The 20,138-nt window shown below is 40.4% G+C and overlaps 1 protein-coding gene across 4 annotated transcripts in view, besides 1 other annotated feature; it reads right to left on the bottom strand.

Moving 5' to 3' along the window:
• LSAMP (limbic system associated membrane protein) overlaps positions 1 to 20,138 on the bottom strand; it is a 643,114-nt gene that overhangs the window by 580,808 nt on the left and 42,168 nt on the right. The gene's annotated exons all lie outside the window — the stretch shown is intronic.
• Positions 8,258 to 8,787: an enhancer, noted in NCBI's record as "H3K27ac-H3K4me1 hESC enhancer chr3:116110286-116110815 (GRCh37/hg19 assembly coordinates)". NCBI's record gives its function as "activates a minimal SCP1, AML or CMV promoter by ChIP-STARR-seq in primed H9 embryonic stem cells {active_cell/tissue: H9 hESC(primed)}" and the evidence as "EXISTENCE:reporter gene assay evidence [ECO:0000049][PMID:30033119]".

Raw genomic sequence — 20,138 nt, forward strand, 5'->3', positions numbered from 1 at the left:
GGCAACAGTGTTACCTTGCTATGTATAATACTTTGAAGTATTTTTTCGTATCTGAAACCTCTATTTTCTACTCCCTCTTCTAAATCTCTATAGCAGGTGAGCTCCATTTTCTGTGTCATGGACTAACAGTAGCCACCTTGCTTGCTATATGCCCCATAGCTCAAAAGTAAATTTCCATGGTGATGAATAAACTTGAAGGAAAAAAAAATGGTACTATGGACAAAAACATTGAGTGGACATAAAAGGGAAATGTAGAATTCTATTATTTTAAAGCAATAAGTACATTATGCCTTATCTAGTTCTTTGTTACTATAAGGATAAAATGCCTTGCTCTGACAGTAGTGGACCAGGACCAGGTCCTAGGGCTCTTAAGTGCCTGTCCAGTATCCTCGTCATTACTTTTTGCAATAAAAATAAATGGAAATAGGATGAAAAGACAAAACATGGAGCTTGAAAAACAAGAAAACGAACGAAAAATGAAGTATGTAAGTACATGTTTAAAAGTTTATAGAAAATGACACACAGGATCTCCATGTGAGGAGAAATAGAAAAGTAGATATAAAGTATGTGACACACTGGCAATGTATGTTCTTATTCACCAATGCCAGGATTATCCCTAGTGAACTTGGGCCAAATTACCATGACAATAATTAGCTCTAGCACTTTGACAGATCATTATGAGAACATTAGCAGGGCATTAGTGAGCATTACCCATTTTTCACACATTGATTAGATGCCATAGTTGGCTCATTAGTGTATTGGTGTCTAACAGCTGCAATCTAACTAGTACTTTCCTCCTTCAGCTGAGATCTAAACCTACTAACCTCAGACCAAGCCATGTAAAGGGACTTTGTTAAACAAGTACATGCTCATTTCACTTGTTTAAGAAAAAAACTCATTAATCAAGCCAGAGAATTATTTGGCCTATCTCTGCTTGGCAATGAACAGTAATCTACCATCTTTCTCTGATTAAAATGACATGTTAAGCAATTTAGAAAAAAATACCACACCAGTATCCTCCACAATTTATCTGATTACTTCCTAGCCTGCTGCTACCTCACGTCTCAATTTGGGATGAGGTTACCTCTTTATTCTGAAGAATATTCTCATATTTTGACCATCTCATTCATCAATTGCTTTGGCTTCTGAAATCAGTAGCTTAGTTGTTCTCAACAGTCTGTACATTAGGATCACCTAAAAATATTTCATAGACACCCTATGATGCATGGCCTACATCTCAGCCCAATTGAATCAGAATTTTTGGAAGTGGGACCTGGGTATCCATATTGATTTATTTTCTTATGCTCACAGAGTGAGTCTGCAGCACACTGGGGGTTGAGAATTACTGTATTCTGAAACATATAATTAGACCCATTAGCCTAGGATACAGAGTGAGGTGGGATATATACAGTGATAAAGTTAACAAATCAGCTGGATTACTCCCAATATTGATGACAGATGGTGCATTGTTCTCAGTACATGCAAACGTTCTAAAAATTAGAAGCAGAGAAAAGGTAGCTTTGAGGAGGTGTTTCGTGATTTTTTTCCTTTTCTTGCATATCACCACCTGTCCACCCACACAGAAAACACATTTAATTTTGAGTCACATATTTTAATAGGTACAATTTTCTCACACTATTTTATAAGTAATTATGTTTTTCTAATTCAAAGCAGTCCAGCATGGATAACCAGGGCAAAGCTCTATGCTCCCTTTCTTACCTTTCACTTTCAAAAGCTGTATGTCAAAACAACACCGACTAGAATACGTGAAATGAATTATTGAGGTGCTGGGCACTAAGCAGTCACTGAGTCTAGCTGGATTATAGGACAAGCAGGGGTGCATGTAAGTTACTGAGCTTCACTCAGTCACAGGGTCAGAATCTAGCTCCTTTTATTTCCATAGGAAACTCAAGAAGGAATGAAAAAAAAAAACACAAAACCAAAGAGAAAGAAGGCGAAAAGGAAACGCTATGTTTATATGACTCTTTCCCTAAGAGTCTAAAAAGAGATTGAAATTAGGGAGAATTGAAATCAGCCACATCACCTTGGCCAAGATATTTCCCATATTCTGGATTCAGTTTCTATATACATCACTCGAGAAAGTTGGTTAAAATCCTTTAATTCTCAGCAAGCTTTAAAGTGTTATGATTCTATGAGACAACTTCTTAGAACACAAATAGTAAGGTGTACATAAGCTGACTTCAGCCATGTAAGGATGCCATGCAAGGATTTATTTTTTATTATTCCCACTATTTGAGAGCACTCTTAAAGATGCAAGGAAAACAGTAAATTGTAACTTCACAAGGGCCAAGTTGAATCTCAAATCCAAAGAGGCTGCTGTGTAGGGAATTTGAAGCCTATCCAGTCTCTACTTCAGTGTGATGTCCCTATTCTCTATGCATCTTTGCAAATTTAAGGATTCACAAAAGTCTCAGTCTATTATTATTAAGAGACTCATGATTATTAAGAGACTCTTGTAAGTCACCCTGTATTTTATTGGAATGTCTTTCCTTAATAGGTCTGCTTATTTTTAAATATCTATCTGTCTAGTTACCATTTGGGAAATTGAACACAACAGGCAATTTAAAAGATAATGAATGCTTTGAGTACTGTTTGGGGTAGTGTTTTATATAAGCCAAAGAAGATTAGCCTTTGTGGTGTTAGTAGGTATGTGTATATTAAAATTTTTGAGTTGTGTATAAAAGAAATAAAGCAAGGAATAGTTATTATTATTGACATTACTACTACTACTACTACTACTACTATTACAAATAACCACCATTTACAGAGTAACCATGGGCCAGAAACTGTGCTAATTACTTATGTATTATCTTATTTAATCCTCAAAAAACTTTGGGAAATTCTTACTATTATAACTTCATTATATAGATGATGAAACTAATTTTGAGAGATCACATGAATAGTAAAGCAGTAGAGGCAGGTTTGCAACCCAGATCTGCTTAAAAACCCTAAAGCTCCTAGTACATAGTAACTGCCAATAACACAATGGTTAAGATCACGGGATTGGAGTCAAAGGGGTATCTGAGAACCTCTTCTCTCTCCAATAGATCCTATATTCAGGTACAGAGCTAATTTTTCTGAATCCAGTTCTGACCAGAATTTTCTGATTAAAAGAAAATGCTCATGCCTTTATATCTCCTACCTCCAAAATTCAACCATCTCAGGCAGACATTCAAGGTACCCCACCATCTGGTCATAGTCTACATTGCCAGTCTTACTGCTCACTAATCCTCTACAGCATCCTAACACAGTCATATAGTACATATTCTTCTCTCTCTTTCTCTAAGAGAGATGGGGTTTTGCTCTGTTGCCCAGATTGGAGAACAGAGGTGCTATCCTAGCTCACCGAAGCCTCAGCCTCCTAGGCTCAAGCAGTCCTCATACCTCAGTCTCCCAAGTAGGTAGGAATGCAGACGCACATCACCACACTTGGATAACTTTCATATTTTTTATAGAGATGGTATCTTGCTATGCTGCCTAGGCTGGTCTCAAAGTCCTGGGCTTAAGTGACCCTCCTGCCTTGGCTTCCCACAATGCTGGGGTTACAGGTGTGAGCCACTGAACCTGGCCAGTACATTCTTTTCATTTAGGTAAGATGCCATTTTCCATCTGGAGCCTGCAGGGAAGCCTTAATGGAAGAAGCAACATTTAAACTGGATCTTGAAGGATGACTAGAATTTTGATAGATGGAGGCTGAAACAATGAAGGAGGAGAAGTAAACATCTGAGAAGATATGTCTGGTCAAATAAACTCATGGGCTAAGATACAGAAGAACAGAATATATTAGGACACAACGTTTATCTTATATAGAGAGTCAAGGACAACAGTGGCAATTACATTTAGAAATAAAATTTGGGATCACATGAGGGAGAACATGGATATCAGCCTAAGAAGTATTGACTTTATACTGTAAGCATATGTAACTAAAAAAGGTTTCTAATAATGTAGCATTGACAGGAGTAGCATTTAGATAGGAAAATTAATCAGGGTCTGGCACTCAGGATAAATGGAGAGGTAAAAATCTAGAACCAGAGTGACTGTTTAAGAAACTCAGGAGAGGCTCCAGGAATAAAGGTATATGGACAGAAAATGCCCAAGCCTGACTATTTATAATGTCCAGCATTATAAATAAGGAATCACTACAATTAGAACAATTTAGATATTCAATGTCAGATACAGAAGAGTCAGAGAACATCTAATATATACAGAGGTGTTCAGTAAATGTTAGTTGACAGGGTAAATGAGTTTAAGCATTCCAGAACCATAGTCCAAATATCACATGTACCCTAAAAATATGTGCAACTATGTATCAATAAAAAACTAACAAACAAAAACTAACAAAAAAACTTAGTCCAAAGGTTCCGTACACAAAAGACTGAATTGAAGCATGAAAGCAGTGTTTTAGGGTTCTCTTTCCCCCATGGAAAAGATGGTAAGTTGGGGTAAAGATGTGAGTATCTAAATGAGAAGGCAAACAACATCGGGATTTCCTAGTGAAAATAAAAAAATAATATAGAAACTGAAATTGAGTCACTGCCACATCATACATGCATATAGTTGTAGATACAGAAATAGCTATAGATTTGATGTAATTGAAAATATCTACTTTTGCCGGGCGCAGTATCTCACGCCTGTAATCCCAGCACTTTGGGAGGCTGAGGCGGGTGGATCACAAGGTCAGGAGATGGAGACCATCCTGGCTAACACGGTGAAACCCCGTCTCTACTAAAAATACAAAAAAGAAAAAAAAAATGAGTTGGGTGTGGTGGTGGGTGCCTGTAGTCCCAGCTACTCGGGAGGCTGAGGCAGGAGAATGGTGTGAACCTGGGAGGCGGAGCTTGTGTAAAAATAAAAGACCATAAGAATATACCCACATTTGAATTGGTGGTGGGGGCAAGTAGAGAGAGAGGGGCATTTTGGCCAAGAAAGGAACAGACATGCTGAAGATGGTGTAGTAGTGGAGCAAATATCACAGAAGCATGAAGAAAAAAAATGAGGCTACTTGACTGAGAAATTAGGAAGTCATTAGCAATATGCATACATTGACCCTATTTTTCAGATTTCAGAAAACCTTTTGGTTGATTCACCCAAAGGAAAAGGTGGAGGGAGTGATGTTGAGTGTTTTTTGTTTGTTTGTTTGTTTTAGCTTTTGATTCTCAATTGTTCTTGCCATTTTACAGCTCTGCTCAATTTACACCCAGAGCTGCCTCTATCACTCAAAGGCACATTACTCTGGAATTGACTGGATCTAACTAAAGGACCTTTCTAATTTCAGAAATCTTTCTTTAAATGAACATAAGGGCTCTAAAACGCACGAAAATATTTTACTAAATGCCAACAGAAAGCTCTGAGGAAGAAGAGGCAGATAGAATACACGCTGCATCTCTTTACTTCTTTTCCAAAGTGTTTGCCCAACAATTTGGGGAAGATTTGATTTTCAGCTTCACTGTCTTCTCTCTTTCTCTGCTCCTTATTCCCAATAAACAAAGTAAAGAGCCTGAAATATCCAAAATGTTCATTTGAAGATAATGCCAAAGTAATCTGGCAAAATATAACTATAGCTCTTTTCACCAATCCTATAATGTACATTGGGATCACAGTTCTGAAAGTTCTGGGCACAAGCACATTTGAAGGTAAATCAAGGCTGACGGCAGGCATCTTAAACAAACAAACAAACAAAAAGCAACAAAAACAACAAAAACGACAAGAACAAAGAAAAAGATGAGCCCAATAGAAAATAAATTGGCATTAAGAAATAGGAGGCCAGGCCAGAGAAAGAGGAGGTGCAATTGCAAATCTCCAGGAGAGCATTGCTATGCAAAAGCAAAAGGAACCAGTCAAGAAACCCAAGTTCTAATTGCAGATGTTACCTTTGTGTCTTGGAGGGATGGGAAAAAGGTTTTTAGCAGTCAGACAGGATGCTGAGACTTCTCTCCTGACCTTGGGCCAAGACAATCTGCTTTTTAACTGGAGGCAACTGTAATCCATTCTGTGAACAGATGGCATAGAGGAAAAAATGCAAACACAGGCTCTCTAGTGTCTCTTCCAAAAGCTAGCCTACCTCCAGCTGTGGTAGAATAGGCAAAAGATGATTTTTTTTTAAAAGGTGCTAGTCTGTATGGGAGAGTCGTGTTAAGAACAGAAAAGATGCTGTCTAACAGACTGATAGGCAGAGAGGACCTGCCTTGGCCACAGTGATGCTGGATAAATTTGTATTGCAATCATTTTTATATCAGTTATATCTCTTAACTCTTTTGGATCATCCATGATTTCCCCCTCCAAAACAGGCCTGTATTCCTTGTCCCTCTAATAATAACAAAACATTCTGGGTATTTCTCATTTGGACTACTTGAAAGCCAGAAACTTCATTGCTAAATTTGGTCAGATGATTTACTAATGCACGGCAGGGTCACAGGAAACGATGTAGCAAGAGAAAACCCTTCCCTGGATATAAATCAAAAGGAAAATACACATGCAAGAATGAATGCCCATGAAATGTCCAGTGGTGGATAGTATCAGCTTTGAACATGATGTTCATTTATCTTCTGTGTTGGAATCCTCTACTGACTTCTGAACCTAGAACATATTGACATCAATATAACTATCACTAATTCTGTGAAATTTTATTTTATTTAAAATAATAAAAAAGTAATATTAGACTTAATACAAACTCTAATTACTAAGAGAAGAATGTGAAGATTTTAGCCCAAGGAATGAGCACTCCCATAATTAACTCTTACTGCTGCATAATGTATAGTTAAACAAAGGGTGACAGTTTTAGCTGGAACATTAAATGTCCACCAGTTGTGAATGCTACAGATAGAAATTTCTGTAATGGGTGGCAACTTGGACTTGATTACCTCAGAAGGACCTTCCAGGTAAAAAAGTCAATGTATCTTCTATACTTAAATTATATATGTATGTATGTATACACACACACACACACACACACACACACACACATTTAGTTACATTCAGCAACATTCGTGGATAGCAACCTGGTGCCAAACATGCTTTGAAGGATCTAGGATTTTCAAAGATAAATAAAGACACCATAACCAAGACACTGTAAGCAGTGGGATATGTTTCACTTTGGAGACTAAAGGTGCCATAGTTTCATGATGAAATGAAAGCCAATTCTTCCCAGTTCAGTTAGAGAAGACTTCACATAGAAGGTAAAGCTTGAGCGGGATCTGCAAGAATGGGGGTTAGTTTACCAGGCAATCAAAAGACAGAGGTTAGTTAAGGGCATTCCAAAGAATAGTCAGGTATGAGAGCAAGGAAATGTATAACAGCATGGTGCAGTTGAGATAATGGAAGCAGTTCTGCAGAGTTGGAAAGGAATGCAAGTAGGCAATGGAAGAAAAGGCAAGGACCATTAGCTGGGCATGGTGGCATGCAACTGTAGTCCCAGCTACTCAGGAGGCTGAGGCATGAAAATTGCTTGAACCTGGGGATGGAGGTTGTAGTGAGCCCACATGACATTGACATTGCACCACTGTACTCCAGCCTGGGCAACAGAGTGAGACTCCGCCTCAAAAAAAAAAAAAAAAAAAAAAAAGGCAAGGAACGTGCTTACAGTAACAATAATATCCATATATTCTGCAGACAGTTGGGAGCCTATGAAGTGTCATTCCTTCTCAGGAGATTTTTGTCAGTGGTCTGCTCATATCCTTTCCAATCTCCTACCATTTTCATGTACACTGCCTTCCAGCGGGGTTCACTCAGAACAGCTGACACCTGAAAGTCTTTGTCAGTGGGCTCTCCTTGGGCTGCTGGTTTGTTCTAACAATATAGAGCTCCTCAAGTGAACAGGATTTAAATTTCCCTTAGAACATCTCTGTGGAGTTGAGCCAAAGTTGTCCACAGCAGGATTTTGCATCATATTGCACTCCCATTTGGGGTTCTTCCCATTGGTTATCAATTTTTCTACTTCTGTACTGATTTTTCCAGGGAATGATTCCGGGGAAATCACTTTGATAGTACTGATGTCAGCAGCGGACCGTCTGGAGCGGCTGCTGCCATCGCGCTGGCAGTAGCGGCAGGAGCAGCTGCGGGAGCAGCAGTGGCGGTGGTGGGACCCCTGTGCCCCGCCCCCCCCGTGCCCCATGTCCCCGAGGCCGCTGACTGCGCTGTCCCACCCTTGTGCAGCCAGGCAGGACCCACTCGCAGGCCAGGAACCTCTGCTGCTCCAGACCCTGGCCCTGCATCGCCACTCTCGCCTGCTGCTGCTGCGGGGAGGGCATGGGAAGGAGGCGGACAGTCTTTGGAGCCTGCCCCTGGGAGACTTCTGGAGCCCACCACCCTGGGGGCCACCACAGTGGGGTTGGGTGGAGGGTCGCTCACTAGCGGGGGAGCAGTATGACTGGGCAGGAAGCAGGGCGCGGGGGTGGCAAGGAGGGGCCCAGAGGCAGAGCTGAACCAGGGCAGTGCCACGTTTGTACTGATTTTTCCAGGGAATGATTCCGGGGAAATCACTTTGATAGTACTGATGGCAGCAGCAGACCGTCTGGAGCGGCTGGAGCATGGGGGCTGAGCCCGGGGTGAGAAATGGGAGCAGTGACTGGTGCCCACTTCAGGGATCCAGCCAGCAGTGTGGCCACTGCACTCACCCCCAACTGATGGTGTCGGTTTCTTGCGCCTTGGGAAGAGGCTTCTCTGCCTGGGAAGAGGTTCTCTGCCAGGCTGCCCAGGGCCACATCCTGAGGCCCACCCTCCATCAGGGTGACTGCCAACCCTGACACTCCAAATGGCCAGGCCCAGGGCTTCAATCCACTCCCAAAGGCACCCCATGGGCAGGGCCATGAGCCTGGTGATGGGGAGCCTTGGGCCACAGCATCCAGACCATGGAAAGAAATTGCGGAGATATCACACCTGCCCTGAAAGCCTGCCCAGGCCCAGCAAGAACCTGAAGCTCCCACACCAGGCTACAAAGAGGCATGGCCGGGGTACACATTCCACTGAGCCAGTGGGAGCTGGGGACAAGCGGGAGCCCTGCCCATTTTGAGTTGGTGGAGTGGGAACTCTCCAGGTGCAGCTACAGCCACCCTTCCACAGCTGCAGACTCAGGCATCTCTGCACTCTAGGGGGCCTGGGAAGGTCCTCCTACCTCCCACAGGCTGGAGGGTGTCTGCTCCCACTGCCTGGCTTCTCCCCACTGTTCACACTTGCTCCAATCTCAGAGTAAAGTCAGGGGCCAAGCCCAGGTGCTGCTGTCACAGCCCAGCTGGGGGTGCACACACTCACGGCAACGCTGACATGCCAGCTCCCTGCCACCTCAGCCTCCTCTGGACTTAGGGCACTGACAAGCACAGGAGAGAGGCTGAGGCGGTGCTGAGGACAGCCTGGTGCTGGCCTGAAGGTGCCCCTTGGCATGAAAAGCCTGGGCATCAGCAAGCAAGCTCCTGGGTGGAACCAGGTGGGTCCCTGGTGAAGCTCCACCTTCTGGTTGGGGAGGGTCTGAAATCAGGGGGCTGGGCTGCCAGTCCCATGGACCAGAGGGGAAACTTGTGGTGCTTTTCCCTGGGCCTGCCCATGGTCACCCATGGACCAATCAGCATACACTTCCTCTGAGGCTCATAAAAACCCAGGACTCAGCCAGACTTGAGCAGAGGATAGAGAGACAATGGGGAGATGACGGGATGACAAGCTACAGAGAGGAGCTGCCCATCCCAGGGTCTCCTCTCTGTTGAGAACTAAGGAAATGATGGGACAAGTTGCTGCAAAGAGGAACCACCCTCTCTGCTGAGAGCTGGACACTTGATGGGACACCTTGGCTATGGAGACAAGCTGCCCACTGGGGGTCTCCTCTGAGCTGTTCTATTGCTCAATAAATCTTCTCTTCATCTTGCTCACCCTCCACTTGTCTGCATATATCATGCTTCCAAGTCGCAGGACAAGAACTTGGGACCTGCTGAATGTCGAGGCTAAAAGAGCTGTAACACACACAAACAGAGCTAAAACATGCCCTTTGCCCATGACACTGTGGGCAAAGAGAAGGAGAGAAGAGCTGCAGCCCTTCAGAGAGCCCAGACCTAGGAACTCCCCAAGCCAGGGCTGTGACTCCCTCTTTGGGCCCCTGTGGTTCCTGGTATCTCCAAGTTTCTAGGCATCAGTGCATTCCCTGGTGCCAGCTGGGTAAACGGCTTGCAGTGCATCTGGTCTAGCTGCAGCCTCACAGAGAACCAGTGCCCGTTATGGCACCTGGAGCTGCCCTCCCTGAAGCAATAGCCAGTGCATCTGACAGTGCACAGTGCCTGGACCCCACGCTTGCTCACATACCCCTCACTGCCCCATGTCTGACTTACAGTCTCCCTTGGAGGTGTGGGACCCAGGCTGGTAGTGTGAGTCAAGTGCAGCCCACCAGGCTGAGTGGGTGGAATGAGCCCAGCAGGCCCGAACAAAAACTCAGGCAAAGACACCACTAACCACAGAGTTTTCTAGCCAGAAAAGCAGCACCCCAAAGATCCCATAACAATGCAATTCCTCATTTTAGGATCTACTTTTTAGGGATGTCCAATCTATGATATCCTTTTAACTTATAGATGTGAGCTATTAAAGTAAGTCTGTAGAGATAAGGTTTTATTGATAAACTAAATATAATGTTGTGATGAACTGGGAAATGTGTTTCTAACTAGCTTCTGGTATATTTCAAGGTTGGTGGCATTAAGAATAGATGAGATTATATATTTACACTATGTTTGCATGGAACGACAAGGAAGCGAGGATTTTGCTGCATCACTTACATTGAAGTACTGTTTTATGAATGAGTCTTTAGTTGGGACTGATTTTATTATGGCTGGAAGACCAGCGAATCTGCTCTTCTAACTCCAGTATTAGTGTTTTGTCCATATATCTAAGGCACCTGTTTTTGTTTCCTTTCTATATCTCTCTTTTTATTGTGGAAAGCTTGTGTTAACCCCACATGTATCGGGTTAGAGGACAATTAAGTAATGAGGTACTTTGTTCCACAGGCTAACATTCAGATTCTGTGTCCATCATCAGCATCTCCATAGTCCCAACCCAAACTCAACCTTATGGATATTTCACTGCATAAGAAGACTCAAATTTCTTATAGATGAAAGGCAACTAAATGAATGGTTTTTGATATAGATATGTAACATTATCTGTGATTATAATAACATTGAGATAATATTCATATAAGCCATTAATAGACCTTAATCCTGCCCTATTGCTCCCTCTGTTATCCCTGACCGAGGCCAATGAAGAATTCTGTCAACACACCTTGAGCCAGAGGAAAGCTTTTTTGACATTCTCTCCTGAAAAATGATACCTTCCTCCCACCTCCACACACACAAGTCCTTTCGTGTAACAGATGCCAACCTGCTATAATTTTGACTCATTAGAGCATGACTCAGACCAGCCCCCTCATTATGCTCACTTTCCAATTACTGGGACTGGACAATTTTACGCAGAAAGAAAAACCACACACTGAGATCCTTGATGCTTGATATCAAGTGACTTTTTATTCTGGCTGTGACTCTTTTCTCCTCCCAACTCCTTGCCCCATTCCTGCTTCCTCAATTTATTGAACTAATACGTGTTTTTCTTCCACATCTATTGGTAGAAGACACAATCTCTCAGCAAGTGTTAATATGTAAAATCTTTCCCCCTCACCTTTCATCTTTCCTTGATTATTAGCTTTTATAAGTGCTGTGGCTGTCGATACATAGTTGCATTTATGTAGACTGACGATGATTTAGCAAAGAGATTTCAAATCCACTTATTTTTAAATATTATCAAGAGCTGTGCACCAGCTTCCTACAAGGCAGGCCATCTCTGTGTTTTGCTCTCATTTCTACAGTTGTTTTCCCCTTTGCAACCACTGTTCCTCTCTATTTTTCATTTCTTCTATCATTCTATTTGGGTTTTTTCCCTTTTACTCTCACTACCTACCTTGCTTCACATGTAGTGACCTGTACATTCATTTCTTTTACTGGAAATGAAATAAGAACTTCAAAGGAGCATGAATAATCTCTCCTGTTTTAATAATTAAAGATGAATCCACCATAAAGCTTTCTCTGCCATTCCCAGTGTTCACATTAGATCGGAAATGGCATTTGTAGCCCCACAAGAAATAGAGTAGTTCCCACCCTGAGATGCACGGCACACAGCTCAGCTCTTCCCTGGATGAGCATGTTACCAATGAGTTTGTTTCAAAGTAAGTATAGCTTGAATATGGGAAGACAGGATTTGATAGTGTTTGATAATTCACAATTTAAGGGCTAAGGAAAGACGGCTTATTATTAAATGCAAATAAAACGAAATGAAGTCCGGCTGTCTGGGTGCAGATAGAAATTACACAAAGCTCATAAGCCACATTGGAGATCTTAACTACTAGACAGCACAGAGCTCTGGGAGTTGCAAGCAAGCACAAATCCTGTCTTTGAAGAGGACTGCACCCAGTATTATCTCTAGAGAAAGACTCAGATTGTACAGTCTGCTTGGAAAACTAAGGTGTGACTAGAAACAGGGCAAGTAAAGCCACTTCATGGAAGGGGAATATGTTTTGATTTTTAAAGTATTTCAACCTCTTTGGTTCCCATTGTTACTTTTCCCTTCTGTAGGATAGCATTTACTGGCCACAGAAAAATTGCCTATTTTCTTACAGGGTTGCCAGACAGCCTGCCTAGAGCAAAAAGATATATATTGCCCTTGACTATCCAAATATATAAAAATGATATGACAGCTTCATAATGGACAGAAGTGTGAACTCAAGGACACATTAATAATTTTATATCAATATTATTTAAATATTTTTGCTAGGTTGATTTATATTTTAAACCAGTGAAAGCTCTTCAAAAGCTATGGAATTATATTTTTTTGTTGTTTATTAATTAGGCTCCCAGGCTCTAATGGACAACATTTTGGAGGAAGTACTAAAGGTGGATTTATAAAACTGAATATATGCAATGTGGCTACCAGGCTGATTTACTGAAAACAATGCATTAATCTGTTATTCACTAACAAAAAATCTCTAAGAGAGTGATTTGTTTTATCAGATCAGTTTTCTTATGCAATTCTATCCTCTAAAATCTAATTTGAGACTTCCATACATACAGTTTTAGATGGGAGGAAAGAGCGTATCTATGTTTCAACAGTTTTGTGTTCTTACTTCTTCTGGGCCTGGGATTCGCCTCTTTTTTGTAACTACTAAAATTCAGCACCTGCTTCAAGTCCATTTCAAACCCCATCTTCTCTAAGGACCTTCCCCTGGATATCTATCTCCCATCTCTGAAGTGTTATGACACTTATTTTCTTCAGCACTCATTTTGGTACTCACATACTTTGTAAAAATACTACATCTACTGCTTTTCATTGCTTAATTACTTTCACTTATCTATTATATACAGCCAACAAACTATACATCTCTAGAAAGCAGAGATGGTATTTTAGAGCTACTTTATATTTCTATAGGATCTAGCAGTATATCCATTATATCTTCATCCTGGATATCTCCCTTGGACTCTAGACTTGTTTGTCTACTGTTCTACTCAGTGTTTTCCTGTGGGAGTCTAATAGACATATCAAACTTCTGATATCCAAACATAATGCTCAACCTTTTCCTCTCAAAATCTGTTCATTGTTTTCTCTAACTCAGTTTTTGGAAGCTCCGTTCTTCCAGTTGCTCAGGCCAAAATACCTTGGATTCATCTTTCTGTCATACTTCACATCCCATCCATCATGACATAATATCATTTCTATCATCAAAACAAATTCAAAATACGATCAATTCTTCCTCTTGTACCACTATAGCTTTTGTCCATGCTATCATGATTACAATGCCATCACAATATTCATCTAATTGGCCTTCTATTCTCAACATAAGAGCCAGGTTGTTCTTTGAAAACGTTAAGTCATCGTGTCACTCCTCTTCCCAAATGGCACTTATGGCTTCCCATTTCAGAGTAATTGTAAGTCTTAATAGGATAAGTGTTAAAGTCCTAACAGTAACCTATAAAGCTCTATAGACCTGACATTCACTTATCTCTTTGATTTCATGTATTTTCTCCACCACTCACTCCACTTTAGACATGTGGGCTAGAGAAATCTCCTTGCAATTCCTTGAATTCTCTAGGTAAGTTCCTGCCTCAAGGCCTTTTCACTTGCTGTTCTTTCAACCTAGAGTGCTTTTCCCTCAGCCTACCCTATTTAAAATACCCGCCCCCCCCCCACACACACATACACACACATAAACCTTTGAAAACCATATCCCTTTTCACTTAATTTTTGTTCTTCATAGTACTTATCACTATCTAACATAATATTTACTTATTTATTTATATTATTGTCTATCTCCCTACACTACAATGCAAGCTTCGTGAGGACTGAAATTTCTGTGTGTTTTGTTCATTACTTTAGTGCCCAGTGCTAGAATACTCCCAGGCAAGAAGTGAATGCTCAATAATTATTTCAACGAATGCACAAATGAAGAAATGAACAGCCTGGTAATATAGTCCTGCTGAAGTTCTTATAAAGTGAATATAGTAGAAAATAAATGGGAATTGCACTGAAAAAAATCTCAGAGGAAGGCACCACTCAGAGAAAGCACATTTTTCTTGTAGCACGAGTCATAGTATGTGTCCCACGTGGCCAGAAGTGGTAGGCTGTAGGCCAAGCTCAAGCCATTGGTTACCTGTGTAACCCCAGGAAAGGCCTGAAATTCTTCTTGCCTTGAGCACACATCTGTAAATTTGTTTTGATGCCTGCCTTCCACTTGAGTGCTTTTTATATTGTTTTGTAGATTTTTCTCATGCTGTCTTTTATGGGAATATTTAACTTCTAAAATAGGGTTGAATATACTTTTACATAGCATTCTGTATCTAGTAGTAGATATATGATACAGGATTGGTAAATGTGATAATTTCTACCATCCCAAAGTTTACTCTCTGTTGCAGAAAAGCAAATAAAAAAACTTCAAACCATAAATTTAAGACGTATAATAAAGACATAATTAGGATTTCTAATATTACTATACAGTCCTGAGCTCCACACTTGTATTCTCAGTACCTAACACTGCTTAGTTAGATAATAATATCTGTTCAATGAGCAAAAAGTAAAAATACACATAAAACACTGTGGAAAGTGAGTATTCGTTGAGAAAAGGAGAAATGAAGAGAGACTAAGATGATCATGTGTAATCAGAGACATCGCTTCTCTAATTGCTAAATCCCCAGTCCATAGGAGAGTATCTGGCTCCGTAGGTATTCAAATACTCATGAATCAACGGATAATTTGAATAACGTTGACCGATTAGCTGACAAAGCTCTATGAAGGATAGAGGTATTTAAGAATTCTTATTTGTTTTGATGAAATAGAAAGAGACGGTCCTTGGACTATGCAGCACCTAGACTACATGGGAAAATCACTTGAAGAATGAATGTGTTTGGAAAAGCATTAGAAAAGTGTATTTAGGGAGGGTGAGGAATATTCAGCTTCTAATTGGTAGAAGCATAAAAGAGTCTGTAATTTAGAAAATAAGTGTCTTGAATACATTGTCAGTATAATTGGGCCATTCATGTATTAAGAATCTATAGGTACCAGCCTGTGCACTAGATGCTAAAGATGAATAAGACTTCACTGTTCTCAACGAGTTGGCAGTCTTGTGAGGCAGAAACATGACAATATAAATGAATCCAATAAGAATCCAATAGACAGTGTTGAATGTAAAAGGATTACCTAACCAAGAGAACTGGTGGGTTAGGGAAAGCTTTCCAGAGGGAAAGAAAAGTGAGATAAAGACTGAGGAAAAGTTGGAGTTAGGCAGGGGAAAGATTGGAAGAACTGTGAAAGAGAAACTTGCACATTGAAAGGCATGGAAGAAGTTCAGTGTGATTACATTTCAAATGGACTGGAAAGCAAGAGAAGGTAGAGGTGGAAGGAGAAAGTAGGCAGAAAATGATTTAAAATAAGACTAGAGAGTTATGTAAGCAGGAGCAAGATTACAAAGGACTTGTTCATCTTTGGAAGACATTTTAATTTCATTCTAAGAATAATGGGGAGCAATTAAATAATTGTAAGAAAAGCCGTGATATGATTAGAGTAGAATCAACATTTAGAAAGCCATAACTACAAAATGTAGAATAGATTGGAGGGGCAACACAGAGCATTGAATACCATTGGAGGTGCTTTTAAAGATCTAAGCAAGAAATAATATGGGCCTGTGTATGGGTAGTAATAATGGGAGAGAAAATAAGAAGAAACAGAATTGAGATGTTAAGGAAGAGAGATGTTAAGTGAAATTGGCAGGGACACACTATAGAAAACACTGGCAAAGAGAGGAACGGTGATGCTGCAAAGTGGTTAGGATCAAACACAGAGGGGCAGCACCAAAAGTGGGCAATATAGAGAAATTTCTGTTGACTGATGGGATCACAGAGGTTTTGTCAATAAGCAGAGGTGGGGGCAGTTAGTGATAAAAATACTGTGCATGGGTCTTCCCTTTTGAGTCTGCAGGTTGAAGTCATATGCTCTGTGAAGTCAAGGAGAGAAAGAATTCCTTTTGATCCACAAGTTTATATCCCATTGAGCAAACGCTACTGACCAGCAGTCCAGAGGCTATGTGAATTGTCAACTCTGACATCTCATTGCACATCTACAAGCATAAACTTATCCGAATTCTGTCTTCAGCTCACTTATGTAGAAAGCATTTGCAAGACACAGCAAGAGACTGTATTCAGAGTGCTGGGTGTGTGTGTTTCTGAGCTTGGTGGCCAGAAGGAAAGAAAGGAAACAGAAAATCAAAGAAAAGTTGCAAAACTGATGTTTAAAAAACTCAGTTCTGGTATAAATATTTTTGTCTATGCTTCATTCCATCTGAACTACTCAGGAAATCTGAGGACTAAATATTAAGGCTACAGTAATACTTTCTACAAATCTAAAAAACCCCTAAATTTCCTTGATTCTCTCATATATACCAGGAGGAGCTAGCTGACTATTTTGTTCTTGCTTTGTACTATTAGGCTTTAGTTTTCTAATGAGGTTTCCCTTTTTTCTCACAGCTTTAGTCCACTAGATGGGCAAACATATCAACATTTGAGATAATCATTACACATCCAAAAAGTCATGTGCCTTCCATGGCTGGCTTGTCCACATCAGCACCACTTTGAGCCAAGTTTGATCTTTCTTTCCTCTTTCTTTCTTCCTTCCTTTTTTTTCTCTCTTTGTCTTTCTCTCTCTCTCTCCTTCTTTCCCTCCTTCCCTCCCTCCCTCCCTCCTTCCTTCCTTCCTTCCTTCCCTCCTTCCTTCCTTTTCTTTCTTTTCTTTCTTTCTTGAGGTGGAGTTTCCCTCTCGTCACCCAGGCTGGAGTACAATGGCACAATCTTAGCTCACTGCAACCTCTGCTACCCATGTTCAAGTGATTCTCTTGTCTCAGCCCCCAAGTAGCTGGAATTACAGGGAACTGCCACCACAACTTGTTAATTTTTGTATTTTTAGTAGGGACGGGGTTTCACCACGTTAGCCAGGCTGTTCTCAAACTCCTGACCTCAGGTGATCCACCCGCCTCGGCCTCCCAAAGTGCTGGGATTACAGCGTGAGCCACCACTCCCGGCCTGATCTTGTTTCTTTTAGATACCACTCTTGTTTGCTGAGTGCATTTTTTTCCACATTCTACCTTTTATTCCTTTTTCAGTAATGTTTGGTTGTACTGCTATTTATCTCTGCAGTGGTTTGGTTGTACTGCTATTGTGACCTGTGCATATATACTACCTACCACAGGATGGATCTACTAGCAAATAGTGTCCCACCTCTCTTTCAAAAGAATCATGTAAACTCAGATCCCAACAAGAGAAGACCCACTGATAATAGTGATGTTGTTCTGCTTTAGCTGCGTATTTTCCTAGGTAAACCCTGGCCTCCAGGACATCCAGGATATGAGCCAGATAAGGGCTAACAACAAACTATTGCTCACCTAATATCCCTCTGTACTTTACCATGTGCTGAATATCTCAGAGCTTCCATATAAAACCCCAGAGAGATTTATTAAAGAGAAACTTGTTGCCCAGGCTGTATTCAACATCTGGAATGATTTCTTTACATCATACTACAATCTCCCTTGGTGACATTTTTTTTTTCTGAGATAGGGTCTCACTCTGTTGCCAAGGCTGGAGTGCAGTGGCACAATCATTGCTCACTGTAGCCTAGACCTCCTGGGCTCAGGTGATCCTCCCACCTAAGCCTCCCAAGTAGCTGGAACTACAGGCACATGCCATCATGCCCAGCTAATCTTTGTATAATTTGTAGAGACAGGGTTTCACCATGTTGCCCAGACTGGTCTCAAACTCCTGCACTTAAGCCATCCACCTGCCTTAGCCTCCCAAAGTGCTGGGATTACAGGTGTGAGCCACTGCTCCTGGCTGTCCGTTGCTGACTTGATCATCCCTGCTAATCCTTCAAGACTCAAGTGTAATCTTCTCTTTCAGATTTTACCTGACCAGCTTCTGACTCTTTTTTTGCACAGAATCGGATTTATCTTCCTCAATTCACACAGCAGCTCATAGATACAATTAGTTCACTATTCATAGAGATAGACCAAGTTAAGGCTATATATGTTCTGTCATATAATATCATCAAATATATACATAAAGAGATATATACACATTTATTAAATTGCTTAAGTCAGTTCACTGTGTAGATTGTTATATTCTTGAGATGAAAGGCTAGGTCTTATGATTTTTGTGTTCTGACTGCCTAGTAGTACACTAGTAGGTAGTATTGGTAGGTAGATACTACATAAATTTTTAAGAAAATAATTAAACCACTTGCTATTTTATGAAGAATATTATTTCATGCTTCCATTATCCAACATAGCAACCCAAACTAGAAAATTCAGCCACTGTCATTTTCTAATAATACATTTCACTACACCATTGTGAAAAACATTTGGTGACTCACATCTCAAACTGTGAAATAGCTGATATTGTGCTATTTTAAAGTGATAATTTTGTATTTTATTTGCGATTTCACATGTTAGGGCTAAAGACCAATTTAGGCTAATATATCTGAAGAGTGAATAGACATTAGTACATCCATTCATTAAGGTATGATTTGCCATTTTATTATGATGAATAATCACTTTTCATTTAAGAAAGATCTTGACTTTTCCTGCAAACTGTTATCTTGTGAAACTGCTGAGGATAGGCCTGGCTAGGAAAGCAAAATGTGTACATGTTACTTATACCTGTGCCACTCTAATTTAAAAACAGCATATCTCAATATCTCAATCACCAACAGTAAGAAAATTTTTAAAAACATACAAACAAAAACTGCCAAGATCTTCATTCAAAGTCATTTTAATTGCTTATATAAATACAGACATAATTATAACCCTAAAAAGTATGCTAATAATTAATTCACTATTTATTGGCATTAAATAAGGTTAAGGCTGTATGTTTTTATACACACATATACAGACATACGTATACATCATCAAGCATATATATATGCGAGTATATGCACATAAATGACTGGGCTGATTTATTCAGAGTATGCACTATAACTGTCTTCAGTTTTAAAAGATAAATCTACTATACAAAATACTAGATGCAATAAAACCCCCATGTAATACAAAATACTAGATGCAGTAAAACCCCCCTTCTCAGCATTCTTTGCACTCTGTTATGACTCAATGGATATATGTGTGTTTTACCTGTGCAGTAAGCACATCTTTACACTGTCTAGTGAAAACCACTCTTGCCTTCAGGGAATGCTCCTCTGGAATCCACCTATGTTTCAAGTGGAAGCTGCCAAATTCCCTAGGTTTCTGGACTCAAGTGTTAGCATATAATCCAGATATGGCCAATCACTGTATCCTACTCCTCTGATCACAGTGATTAGTCCAGAGAGGTCATGAAATCTAAACCAAGTTAATCAGTCTTTCCGAACTTGTAGTCATAAAATAATTGATTGCCCAAAGTGGATTTTTTGAAAGTGAAATGGATGTTATTCACAGTTATGCTGGAACAAGAAGTTTGCAGACAGTGCCTTGGACAATAAACTAATGCTAATAGTAACCCTCTTCTGAGACTTTTCTACGTGGCATTTGCTTGAAAGTTTCCTTTTCTTTATAGTTAAAACTACATAATTGTGAATGTAAG

This window comes from Homo sapiens, chromosome 3, assembly GCF_000001405.40.
Source record: "Homo sapiens chromosome 3, GRCh38.p14 Primary Assembly".
NCBI classification, from domain to species: Eukaryota; Metazoa; Chordata; class Mammalia; order Primates; family Hominidae; genus Homo; species Homo sapiens.